Source organism: Homo sapiens, chromosome 7, assembly GCF_000001405.40.
Source record: "Homo sapiens chromosome 7, GRCh38.p14 Primary Assembly".
Lineage (NCBI taxonomy): Eukaryota > Metazoa > Chordata > Mammalia > Primates > Hominidae > Homo > Homo sapiens.
The window spans coordinates 65,769,105-65,781,903 of NC_000007.14; the positions used below are offsets into that span (position 1 = coordinate 65,769,105).

At 46.3% G+C, this 12,799-nt stretch overlaps 1 long non-coding RNA gene and 1 pseudogene across 1 annotated transcript in view, besides 5 other annotated features; one reads left to right on the top strand and one right to left on the bottom strand.

Annotated features, from left to right (window-relative positions):
• Positions 1-1,706, bottom strand: part of LINC03006 (long intergenic non-protein coding RNA 3006) — a 123,801-nt gene extending 122,095 nt beyond the window's left edge. Inside the window, exon 1 of the long non-coding RNA NR_038378.4 lies at positions 1,363-1,706. This is a non-coding gene — a long non-coding RNA (long intergenic non-protein coding RNA 3006). The remainder of the gene's footprint in view (positions 1-1,362) is intronic.
• Positions 115-738: an enhancer, noted in NCBI's record as "H3K4me1 hESC enhancer chr7:65234206-65234829 (GRCh37/hg19 assembly coordinates)". NCBI's record gives its function as "activates a minimal SCP1, AML or CMV promoter by ChIP-STARR-seq in naive H9 embryonic stem cells {active_cell/tissue: H9 hESC(naive)}" and the evidence as "EXISTENCE:reporter gene assay evidence [ECO:0000049][PMID:30033119]".
• Positions 739-1,361: an enhancer, noted in NCBI's record as "NANOG-H3K27ac-H3K4me1 hESC enhancer chr7:65234830-65235452 (GRCh37/hg19 assembly coordinates)". NCBI's record gives its function as "activates a minimal SCP1, AML or CMV promoter by ChIP-STARR-seq in naive H9 embryonic stem cells {active_cell/tissue: H9 hESC(naive)}" and the evidence as "EXISTENCE:reporter gene assay evidence [ECO:0000049][PMID:30033119]".
• Positions 1,608-1,857: an enhancer, noted in NCBI's record as "active region_26075". NCBI's record gives its function as "activates an Ori minimal core promoter by ATAC-STARR-seq in GM12878 lymphoblastoid cells {active_cell/tissue: GM12878}" and the evidence as "EXISTENCE:reporter gene assay evidence [ECO:0000049][PMID:35858748]".
• The window catches only part of GTF2IP5 (general transcription factor IIi pseudogene 5), a 28,473-nt pseudogene continuing 20,189 nt past the window's right edge, over positions 4,516-12,799 (top strand).
• Positions 6,286-6,787: an enhancer, noted in NCBI's record as "H3K4me1 hESC enhancer chr7:65240377-65240878 (GRCh37/hg19 assembly coordinates)". NCBI's record gives its function as "activates a minimal SCP1, AML or CMV promoter by ChIP-STARR-seq in naive and primed H9 embryonic stem cells {active_cell/tissue: H9 hESC(naive and primed)}" and the evidence as "EXISTENCE:reporter gene assay evidence [ECO:0000049][PMID:30033119]".
• Positions 6,788-7,287: an enhancer, noted in NCBI's record as "H3K4me1 hESC enhancer chr7:65240879-65241378 (GRCh37/hg19 assembly coordinates)". NCBI's record gives its function as "activates a minimal SCP1, AML or CMV promoter by ChIP-STARR-seq in naive H9 embryonic stem cells {active_cell/tissue: H9 hESC(naive)}" and the evidence as "EXISTENCE:reporter gene assay evidence [ECO:0000049][PMID:30033119]".

Here is a 12,799-nt window from a genome sequence, read left to right on the forward strand (position 1 = left end):
GTATATAAATATACATATTATATATATAAATGTATATATAACAATCCATCTTACCCTGACAATCTGCCTGCTAAAACTTACTAAACCATACCAAACTATATGAATTTATTTTTATTATTATTATTATTTTTTGAGACAGGGTCTGGCTCGTCACCCAGGCTGAAGTTCAGTGGTATGATCTCAGCTCAATACAGCCTCTGCCTCCCGGGCTCAAACCATCCTCCCATCTCAGCCTCCTGAGTAGCTCGGACTACAGGTGTGCACTATAATGCCCAGGTTATTTTGTGCTTTTGATAGAGACAGGGTTTTGCCCTGTTGCCCAGGCTGGTCTCGAACTCCTGGGCTCAAGCAATCCTTCTGCCTTGGCCTCCCAAAGTGCTGGGATTATAGGTGTGACCCACTATGCCTGGCCTTGAAAATCCATTTTATTTCATTTTTTATAATTTATTTATTTTTTTGAGACGGAGTCTCACTGTCACCCAGGCTGAAGTGCAGTGGCACAGTCTTGGCTCATTGCAAACTATGCCTCCCGGGTTCACGCCATTCTCCTGCCTCAGCCTTCCCAGTAGCTGGGACTACAGGCGCGCGCCATCACGCCTGGGTAATTTTTTTTTTTTTTTTGTATTTTCAGTAGAGACGGGGTTTCACCGTGTTAGCCAGGATGGTCTCGATCTCCTGACCTCGTGAACCGCCCGCCTCGGCCTCCCAAAGTGCTGGGATTACAGGCGTGAGCCACCATGCCCAGCCGAAAATCCATTTTATTTATTTATTTACTTATTTAGGTGTGACCCACCATGCCTCGCCTTGAAAATCTTATTTATTTATTTAGAGACAGAGTTTTGCTCTTGTTGCCCAGGCTGGAGTGCAATGGCGCGGTCTCGGCTCACTGCAACCTCCACCTCCCGGGTTCAAGCAATTCTCTGCCTCAGCCTCCCGAGTAGCTGGGATTACAGGCGCCCGCCACCACCCCTAGCTAATTTTTGTATTTTTAGTAGAGACGGGGTTTCACCATGCTGGCCAGGCTGGTCTTCAACTCCTGACCTGGTGATCCACCCACTCGGCCTCCTAAAGTGCTGGGATTACAGGTGTGAGCCACCGCACCCGGCCAGTCCCTTATATAAATTTTTAAAAAGATGTTTTCTTCGTTTCCTAGCCCCTTCTACCCACCTACAAAGTTCCAAAGGCTTTAATACTATTGCAACGGCAGTCAGAGGTCAAGCTGGGGGGGTGCGGTGCAGCTCCCTAACGCGGGGCAGCCTCAAAGGGGGCCGACCCTGCCCAGCACGAATGGCACCGGGCGGTGGGGGACGCTCTCGAGGTCCCCGGAACATGGCTGGGGGAAGTGTTGGGGGGTGCACATACCCAGGCTCAGCTGAGGCGAGTGCGCGGCCAGGGCTGCAGCTGGCGCTGGCTGGTACTTGCTCAGGCCATTGAGGAGCTTCTGGGCGACCCTGCGCTCGTGCCTACCAGGCGCCAGCCAGTAGGTGCGCAGCGCCTGCTCCAGCAGCGTCAAGCCTTTGCTGCGCGGACCCCGCAGGCCGGGAAGTCACGCAGGTGGTAGTAGTCCAGGTGGTCGTAAACTCCTCCTCATAGCTTATGGGTGGCGGCGGCTGGGCTGAAGACTGCGGACAGGACATCCCGCCCGGCCGCCTGTGGTCACCCTCCCGCGCAGGCGCGCTCCTGGAAGACCCAGCACCTGGAGTTCCGATTGGCTCTGCGTGAGGGGCGGGCCTTTGCGACATCTTGGGGGCGCCTTCGGTGACGTCACAGGGGCGGGCCTTCTGCCACGTCACAAGGGCTGTACAGTTCCTGGAGCTGGGCAGTCTTCTCAGAGTGGAGCCTGGTAACCGCGACCTCCCCGCCAGTTCCTGTGTGTTGCTGGCTGGAAAGGGGTAGTTGACAAACTCCCACCCAGCACAGTATTTATGTCGGTCAAAAATGGAAAACTATGTGTCCGGGCACGGCCCAGGAAGGAGGATTCCTTCAGGCCAAGAGCAGCCTAGCAATATGGCGCAACCCCACCTCTGTAGTCCAACCTCAGCCTCCCAGCTACTTGAACCCCAAGATTCAAGGCTCCAATGAGCTGTGATCTCACCACAGCACTCCTGCCTGCGAGACTGAGGTAAACCCTGTATAAAAAAATAAAAAAGAAAACTATCCAAGTGTACAACCGGGAGGGACTGCTTAAAGAACACATGAGGCTCCCTGGGCCGTGCTATCCCGGCACTTTGGGAGGCCGAGGCAGGAGGATGGCTTGGGTTCAGGAGTTCGAGATGCGCCTGGACAACATGACGCAACCCCGTCTCTACGAAAGATACAAAGATTAGCCAGGCGCGGTGCACGCTTGGCCTAATTTTTGTATCTTCCGTAGAGATGGGGGGGGTCTTGCTATGTTGCCCGGGCCGGTCTCGAACTCCTGGGTTCAAGCGATCTTCTCACCTTGGCCTTTAGAGTTGTTGGGATTACAGGCGTGAGCCACCGTACCCTCCTGGGCTAGGCTATTTAATAACATAAGAAAGTGCGGTGGCTCACGCCTGTAATCCCAACACTTTGGGAGGCCGAGGCGGGTGGATCACCTGAGGTCAGGAGTTTGAGACCATCCTTGCCAATATGGTGAAACCCAGTCTCTACAAAAAAATACAAAAATTAGGCTGGGCGCGGTGGCTCACACCTGTAATCTCAGCACTTTGGGAAGCTGAGGCGGGCCGATCACCTGAGGTTGGGAGTTCAAGACCAGCCTGACCAACATGGAGAAACCCCATCTCTACTAAAAATACAAAATTAGCCGGGCGTGGTGGTGCATGCCTGTAGTCCCAGCTACTCAGGAGGCTAAGACAGGAGAGTCTCTTGAACCCAGGAGGCGGAGGTTGCAGTGAGCCGAGAAGCATCACTGCACCCCAGTCTGGGCGACAGAGCAAGACTCCAGAGCTTGAGACCAGCCTGGGCCATGTAGTGAAACCCTGTTTATAAAAAACAAACAAAAAAAGCCAGGTGTACCTGTGTCCACCTGTGGCCCCACTACTTAAGAGTCTGAGGCAGGAGGATAACTTGAGGCCAGGAGCTGAAGGCTGCAGTGAGCTATGGTCATCCCACTGCTCTCCATCCTGAGCAATAGAATGAAACCTTGTCTCTAGATAGCTAGCTAGCTAGGTAATTGATACGTAGTTTTCTATCGGAAATCTTTTTCCTAGACTTGAACATGTTTTTCTAAAGTAGCATTCAACACATCAGCATTTTACAGTGTTATTAGTTGTTAATATGATTATGTTTTTCTGAAATACAGTATTCTTTACCAAAACAGTGTTGTCTTTCAAAGCACATACATAGGTCCTCCAGTGAATTTGTCTGATGTTGGCGACCTTCGCTTTCTGGTGACTGAGTCAACAGTATCTGTTTCATAAATAATGTAGCCCTATTTTTTTTGAGACAGGGTCTTGCTCTGTTACCTGGGCTGGAGTGCAGTGGCATGATCTCTGCTCACCATAACTACCGCCTCCTGGGTTCAAGCGATTCTCCTGCCTCAGCTTCCTGAATAACTGGGATTACAGGCGCCACCATATCTGGCTAATATCTTTTTGTTTTTGTTTTTGAGACGGAGTTCGCTCTTGTTGCCCAGGCTAGAGTGCAATGTCGCCATCTCGGCTTACTGCAACCTCCACCTCCCGGGTTCAAGCGATTCTCCTGCCTCAGCCTCCCTAGTAGCTGGGATTACAGGCATGTGCCACCACGCCTGGCTAACTTTGTATTTTTAGTAGAGACAGGGTTTCTCCATGTTGGTCAGGCTGGTCTTGAACTCCCTACCTCAGGTGATCCGGCCACCTCAGCTTCCCAAAGTGACAGGTGTGAGCCACCGCGCCCAGCCTAATTTTTGTATTTTTAGTAGAGATGGGGTTTCACCATGTTGGCCAGGATGGTCTTGAATTCCTGACCTCAAGTGATCTGCCTGCCTTGGCCTCCTAAAGTGTTGGAATTACAGGCATAAGCCAACATGCCCGGCCAACCCTATTTCTTTAAGCATATACATTTTGCACTTGTTAAAAGTATTTGAACATAAAATTATCCAGCTTCCCTTGTTTATGTATGTTTGAATTTTGTATAAGCTTAAATATTTTTTCCAATCTAAGCTTTATTATATTCCCTTTCTTCTATATTTGTATAACTTTAGGTGGCTGTCTTTGTTGAAAGTTTTTTCTGAAAAGCCTTAAAACAATATAGTTATTGGCAGCAATTTCAGAGTTATTTGAGGGCAAGGGGAGATTTATAATGATGATTCAAATGAAGCAAACTAAAAAGTAATGAAGCAAGACAGAGGATAAAGCAGTATTCACTTGAGCACATCCCAAAAGAATAAAATTTCAAATGTAACTAGAAAAATGTATGCTGAAGATCATAGTACAGGAATAATTATTAATATTCAAAATAGCTTTAAAGCCGCTCACCTTTTGAATGTTGGGAATTTACCAGGAGGTGGCTGTAACCTAGAATTGTTCCTTCAGTAATGACCATTTTCTTTTTCAACATGATGATGATTCTCCACCTTCTAAGAGACCAAAGACCAACAAACTACCACAGCCACCAGTTCCGGAACCTGCCAATGATGGGCAACGGAAAGTGAGGGAGTTCAACTCTGGTAAGTTCTCAGTGAAATCCACAACCTTTTCCCTCATCTTCTGGACTCTCAATGTGGCTGATGAAAGTTACAACATGCTCATCTGCAGGGGGAAATGCTTTAGCATGTATTACTATGTTATAATCTCACCTTTGTAAAGCCAGGAGCTTTTTGAAAGTCCCATTATAGACATTGTTTAAACATGGTTTGAATTTACCAAAGCATAGGACATTGTTTCATCTCATATTAATTAGTTGGCTCAAAATTAGTCCTAATGACTTAGGAATTCAATGGTTTCTCTTAGCTTTAAAACCTTCTTTATTTCAGAACTATTTCACCTGTTGGTTTTCGTTTTTGCTGTGTGTCACTGCCTGCCAGCTGCTATTGTGTTAACTCCCAGTGGATCATGTGTCCTGTGAAGGGACTGAATGAGATATTAATGGCAAATTATGTTGATGATTCATATTTTGAATATAAATAGATCATTAAGCTTGTATACATTTTGAAAATAGTATGTTAATATTCTGTTGTGTCATAGTCACAATGATTGGCTACATATTGAATTTATATGTACATTAAGTTGTTGTATGCTTATGTTCTTTAACATTCTAACTTGCAACTGTATATCTGTTAAGTCTTTTTTTTTTTTTTTCCGAGAAGATCAGACTCTGATTTATTGAGGCATCTGTTTGATGCCAAGTTAAGTGGCCCAGGCTCTGTGTAGGGGGTGAGGTTAACGCAGGAAGAAAGATGGTGAGGGGCAAGGGTGCAAGGATTATGTTGGAATGAGGCTCCCCAAGTTTCCCTGGCCCTGGCTGGTTGTGCTGCTGGCCTGAACATCTGATGAGCTTGCAAGGGTGACTCCGAGAGGTGGGTGGTCCAGGGGCTAGGGCAGGGACTTTGGAGTCACGCTGTTGGCTTTGAATCCAGACTCCTACACTTGGTAGCTGTGACCTTTCCATGCCTCAGTGACCTGCAGAACTGAGCTCTGTCTGAGCCAGGTCCCATCCAGGCACTGCAGATCCATCCAGAGTTAAACCACCCCAGGTTGCTGACTATCTGCTGCCTTCTCAAGCAGATCCTTGTCTCCTTGGAGGCCTTCACAATCCAGTGGAGGAGGCAAAACTCATCTGCCTCTGTCCCTCTGGGTGCACCTCATGCCAGGTGCATCTGTGGGCACAGGTCATGCTCCTGGGCTTCCAAAGTTGGAGAAAGTTGCCAGGCTCAGGTGGCTATATCAGAGCAGCTGCTACCCTCTGGACACAGTGACAAAAGAACACTCTGGGCCTAGAGTCCTGGTCTGGGGCACTGGGCAAGGCTCTTGCACTTCTCTGAGCCCGTTTCCCCATCTGGAAAGTGTGCTGATTGAGTCTCCCTTTGGGCACTGAGGGCTCAGGGTTAGTTTGAGAGCCAGCATCTGGGGTTTGGGCTGTAATTCCCCTTCAGCCCCATAGCTGGGGGGAGTCAGGGACTTTGTCGGGATTACCCTAGGCATCAGTCCAGCTTCCTGCTCCTGGCTTGGGCTCAGCATCTGAAGTAGTTTGGGGGGCAGGTGGTCCTGGTGGGGGTTGGGGCTTTTCCCCAGAATTAGGTCACACCCAGAGCCAGAAATCTTGGCACCTGCTCTAGGCTAAGGATGCATCTGGCCCCCAGGGTGCAGGTAACTGCCCACCTTTCCTGGTTTCTGCCTGCCAGGGCCAATCTTCAGACCTCGGGACTTCCCAGCCTATCCCACCTCCCTCTCTGGCCAGCCTTGAACCCTCGTGGGTCCAGCACTTTTTCCAGGCCATCTCCTGGTTGTCCTCCTGCCCCGAGGCCTGGCTCATGCTGCTCCCCCTCCCACTCACCATGACCCACAAGGACCACTCCACACCCAGCTCAGCCCCAACCCCTTGGATAGTCCTTTCGCTTTCCTCAGGCAACCAGGTGCATATCTTGGTGTCAGGACCTTCCCTGCACCTGGGAATGCCTACTGGTCACGTCGGTCACAGAGACCAAGGCATTTACTTGATTTGAGTGCCTTTGGTTCATTGTCTGCATGGCCAGGGAGGGAGTCAATGATAGGCTTTTCACTTGCTGCAAGGGTCAGTTCTCCTGGCCCCATGGCCCTAGGGATGGAGGATGCTGCAGGATACACACCCCTCACTTCCCAGCTGAGTGCTGTGGGTCATCTCAGGGCGATTTCACAGTCCCGCATGCCCCACCCCCTCAGCTCTGCAAATACCAAGCAGCGCAGCCTGCCTAGGGGACAGTGGGCTCAGGACTGCCCAGGTGGGCTCAAGACTGCCCAGGTAGTCCCCAGAGTGCCCTTGGCAGGCCCCTCACCTAGCTGCTCCCACAGCTCTGTAGCAAGAGTCTAACCTTTTTTGAGTGTGGAGCCTGCTGAGAATGAGAACTGTGGGCTGTTTTCCCGGAAACGCATGTGCACACTCTCCACACAAAACCTTGCATCGTTTCAGGGGGCTCACACCTCCCTAAGGGCCCAGTTATTGAACCCCTCGGACCTGAGAATGAGAAACCTTGCCTCAATAGAGTCTTGCTCTGTTGCCCAGGCTGGAGTGCAGTGGCCCAACCTCAGCTCACTGCAACCTCCGCCTGCTGGGTTCACGCAATTCTCCTGCCTCAGCCTCCTGAGTAGCTGGGACTACAGATGCGCACCTACCACTCTCAGCTAATTTTTTGTATTTTTAGTAGAGATAGGGTTTCACCATGTTGGCCAGGATGGTCTAGATCCCTTGACTTCGTGACCCGCCCGCCTCGGCCTCCCAAAGTCCCAGGCATGAGCCACCACGCTGAGTCAGGGTCCCTCTTAAACTTGTATTTTTAAGGTCTGGTGTCCCTCTTACTTAATCTTTTTTTTTTTTCTTTTTTGAGACGGAGTCTTGCTCTGTCACCCAGGCTGGCAGTGGCATGGCCTCGGCTCACTGCAACGTCCGCCTCCTGGGTTCAAGTGATTCTCCTGCCTCAACCTCCTGAGTAGCTGGGACTACAGGCACCTGCCACCATGTCTGGCTAAGTTTTATATTTTTGGCATAGACGGGGGCGGAGGCAGGGGGTTGGGGAGGGGAGGGGGGATTTTGCTTTGTTGCCCGGAGCTCGAAGTGATAATCTGCCCACCTCTGCTCTCAAAGTGCTAGGATTACAGGCCTGCACCACTGCACCCAGCTGCTGTAAAGCCTTATTTCCACACAGCTGAGACATGTTTTAGGAAGTTTGCGAAAAGGCCTCTGGAGACCTCCTCATTGTGGCCTCCCTGTTGTCGTGTTTAATTTGATTGATCTTTTCTGCCCTCCTTTTCAGAAATTAAAGGCTAAAAAAAGGCATTAAACTTTAAAACTTCTCTTGTAGTCTCCTATTAAACTAATTCTAAGAACCACCAAAAAAGGGAAAAATGTTTTCGAAAGCAGTAAAATGATATGGACTGTTAGTATGTAAAATATAGGAAATAAGTCATTATATATTATTGCTGCTCTGACATAGGGACATATTATTGAGAATCAACTTTTGCTCAGTTTTCAGAGAAGTGGAATAATCATATCGCTGATCTATGTAAACAAGTTGAAGAATTGTCTGACAGAAAATATGGTATGTTTAAATTGGAAAAGTCCTGTAATACTTTGTTCATAAGCATTTACACAATGGAGTTATTGTTCATCATGGGAGTACTGTGGACAAGCCCAGGGCTGCTGGTGAATCCTGCCATCCTTACACGTCTCTCCTTGTAAGGTGCTTTGTAGTTTCTGTCTAAATATTAGAAACATTCTTTGTTTCTAGATTACTGCAAAACTAAGGAAAAGTTTTATTTCTTTAGCATTTCTTTTAAACTTTCAGCATGGATATTGGGGATTTATTTACATGTTTATTGCAAAGCCCTGGATCTTAGAGATTTAATTGAATATTATTTTTTGAAACTAATTGTTTCTCTTAATCTGCTTTGTTAAATTCGGTATTCACCAAGATGCCTCTATTGTCTCTACTTTTATCCTTTTTTTTTTTTTTTTTGAGTTAGAGTCTCACACTGTTGCCCAGACTGCGGTGTATTGGTGCAATCTCAGCTCACTAAAACCTCCACCTCCTAGGTTCAAGCGATTCTCCTGCCTCAGCCTCCCGAATAGTTGGGATTACAGGCGATTCTGTTGCCTCATCCTCCCAAGTAGCTGGGATTACAGGGGTGTGTCACCAGGCCCAGCTAATTTTTATATTTTTGTAGAGACAGGGTTTCACCATGTTGGCCAGGCTGGTCTCGAACTCCTGACCTCAAATGATCCATTCTCCTCGGCCTCCCAAAGTGCTGGGATTACAGGTGTGAGCCACCACACCCGGCCTATGTTTTTATTATATTGTTAATTTAGTACTATTCTGAGTAAAAATAATTTGCTATTACAGTTTTATAAATTGACTATGACAATTTTATAAATGTCAGTGCTTTTTATAAAATGAAACAGATTATGTTGTGGGGCTTTTGTTGTGATGGTGATTTACTATTTAAAGACATTAATATTCAGTTGTTGTGAAACTATAAAAACAATCTTCACATTTTATATATATATATATATTTTTTTTGAGACAGTTTCGCTTTTGTTGTTCTGGCTGGAGTGCAATGGCGCAATCTCGGCTCACCGCAACCTCCGCCTCCTAGGTTCAAGCGATTCTCCTGCCTCAACCTCCAGAGTAGCTAGGACTACAGGTGTGCACCACCACGCGCAGGTAATTTTTGTACTTTTAGTAGAGACAGGGTTTCACCATGTTGGCCAGGATGGTCTTGATCTCTTGACCTCGTCATCTACCTGCCCTGGTCTCCCAAAGTGCTGGGATTACAGGCGCGAGCCACCACACCTGGCCCACATTTTGTAATTTTAAAGCAGTATTAATGGTAATTGCCTTAGAGAAAGATACTTTTGTTGTGATATATAAGTATGATATTCAAGTATAGTGTACAGCAAAGGACATTAAACCTAAGTCAGCACTAATGTGTTATAGGATACACTTGAAACTTTAGTACAAATAGTAATGTTTAGCAAATAGACCTTAACACATAATGATAGCAAAAAAATGGAGCTGTTCAGATGAGAGACCATTGGTTATGTCTGATTTTAATACTCCCTATGCTCTTGACTTTTTCTTTTTTTCCTTTGAGACAGAGTCTTGCTTTGTCACCCAGGCTGGAGTGCAGCAGCGTGATCATGGCTCACTGCAACCTCCACCTCTCAGGTTCAAGCGATCCTGCCGCCTCAGCCTCCCTAGTAGCTGGGACTACAGGTGAGAGCCACCATGCCCAGCTAATTTTTGTATTTTTAGTAGAGACGGGGTTTTGCCATGTTGGCCAGGCTGGTCTCAAACTCCTGACCTCAGGTGCTCCACCCGCCTTGGCCCCCCAGAGTGTTGGGGTTACAGGCATGAGTCACTGCACCTGGCCATCACTTGACTTTTTATAGTTGTTGTAGTATTTTAATCATGAGTAAATAAATGCTAGTTGAAATGATGCAGTTCAGGAGCATCTTCTGCTTCTCTTACTAAAAAAAAGTATTTTTTTAAGTCCAATAGTTACACTAATGTTTATGTGTGGAAAATATTACCTTTTCCAGCCGGGTGCGGTAGCTCACACCTGAAATCCCAGCACTTTGGGAGGCTGAGGTGGGTGGATCACCTGAGGTCAGGAGTTCAAGACTAGCCTGACCAATATGGTGAAACCCAATCTCTACTAAAAATAAAAAAAACTAGTCGGGCATGGTGGTGGGCGCCTGTAGTCCCAGCTACTCGGGAGGCTGAAACAGGAGAATTGCTTGAACCCAGGAGGCAGAGGTTGCAGTGAGCCAAGATCGTGCCGTTGCACTCCAAGACTCTGTATCAAAAAAAAAAAAAAAAATGAAAATATTACCTATTCCATTTAGTACTATATGTTTTAAATGATATTAGCTGGTATTTTTTTGGCTTTATAATGTGGTTCAGATTTCTGTAGAAATTCTGGCTGTATCTGCATTGCCTTAAAGTAATGGGATATTTCTTTTTTTCTTTTTCTTTTTTTTTTTTCTTCAGCTGGAGTTCCGCTGTTGTCACCCATGCTGGAGTGCAATGGTGTGATCTCGGCTCACTGTAACCCCTGCTTCCCAAGTTCAAGTGATTCTCCTAGCTCAGCCTCCTGAGTAGCTGGGAATACAAGCACCTGCCACAATGCCTGGCTAATTTTTGTATTTTTAGTAGAGATGGGTTTTACCATGTTGGCCAGGCTGGTCTCGAACTCCTGACCTCATGATCTGCCTGCCTCAGCCTTTCAAAGTGTTGGGATTACAGTCATGAGCCACCGTGCCCAGCCTGTCTTTTCTTTCCAAAGCCACCCTTGGTGATTAAATGTTAAATATGTACTAGTGGATATTACTTTGCTGAATATTGCCTAGTGAATATTAAGTATTTATTCTCACCTTGCAGACATGAACTTGTGAATTCAACACGTGAAGATTTACAACTTGATAAACCAGCTTCAGGAGGTAGGTCTTCAGTCTTAAGTCAGATTAGAAGATTATGTGAAATAATTATTTAATGCTTAACATTGATTTTTTAATGGTATCTTCCACATGAAATAATATTCCTCTAACATTTAATTACATGCCAGGACAGGAGAATTCATGTTGTCAAAATTCTAATACTCTCTAGAACAGTAAACTCATTTTATTTGTATTAACCCATTATAAATACATGTAAATGTTGCATTTATGGGTAGACAGAACTAAAAGAACAATATTTTTCCTACTTTTGAGATGCAAAAGTTGTCTGGCATAATGCATTGAACAGGTTATTATTGAAGCTTGCACCAGACAACTGAACAAACATTCCTCAAATGTCCATGATACCCAGGACATAAGAGGCTTCCTTTTAGAGTATGGAGCCATGCATATCATCTCTTAATTGTTAGATGTGTTTTGAAAGAAATAGAAATATAACGGATTTTCTTATTTGTTTTGGCTCTGGAGTAGAGTGGGGACAAAACAGAATGGAATCACACTGTTTAGATTTACTGAAATGGAAGGATTGCTGCAAGATTATATCCCTAGTCTCCCCATAGCAAATGGCACCTGCTAGCTGTTTTTTGTTTGTTTGTTTGTTTGAGATGGAGTTTTGCTTTGTCGCCCATGCTGGAGTGCAGTGGTGTGATCTCAACTCATTGCACCCTCCACCTCCCAGGTTCAAGCAATTCTCCCTGCCTCAGGCTCCCAAGTAGCTGGGATTACAGGCACCTGCCACCACGCCTGCCTAATTTTTGTATTTGTAGTAGAGCTGGGGTGTCACCATGTTGGCCAGGCTCTTCTTGAACTCCCAACCTCAGGTGATCTGTCCGCCTCAGCCTCCCAAAGTGCTGGGATTACAGGTGTGAGCCACTGCACCCGGCCTGCTAGTGGTTCTTGAGCACACTGAGTTCTGCTTTTTCCCAGCTTTAATGAATGTCTGGTTCTTCCTTTTTTGTGCAGTGTGTGTCAGCATTGTTTCAGTAATAAATACATTCTGGATATTAGAAATAATTTTAGTCACAGGAAAAGAAAAAATAATACTATTTTATAATAACAATATTTAATAACCCGAGCTATTAAACCCATTAAATTGAGAAAACTTGTATTCCTGTGATTTCGACAGTAAAGGAAGAATGGTATGCCAGAATCACTAAATGAAGAAAGATGGTGGATCAGCTTTTCTGCAAAAAAATTTGGTAAGTCTCTTTTTTCCCCTTTCAACTAAAGTATATTACTGAGTAATGTTTTTTATAATGTTGTTTTATTTTAGGAAAGTAAATATAATGAGCAGGACTCAGCTCCAGTTTTTTCTTACTGTTTTGAGACGGAGTTTCGCTCATGTTACCCAGGCTGGAGTGCAGTGGCGCAGTCTCAGGTCACTGCAACCTCCGCCTCCCAGATTCAAGCAATTCTCCTGCCTCAGTCTCCCAAGTAGCCGGGATTACTGGCACCTGCCACCATGCCCAGCTAATTTTTGTATTTTTAGTAGAGATGTAGTTTCACCTTGTGGGCCAAGCTGGTCTCGAATTCCTGACCTTAGGTGATCCACCCACCTCAGCCTCCCAACGTGCTGGAATTACAATTGTGAGCCACCACGCCCAGCCTCTCTTACTATTTTCTTTTTTTTTTTTGAGATGGAGTCCAGGCCGGAGTGCAGTGGTGTGATCTTGGTTCACTACAACCTTGC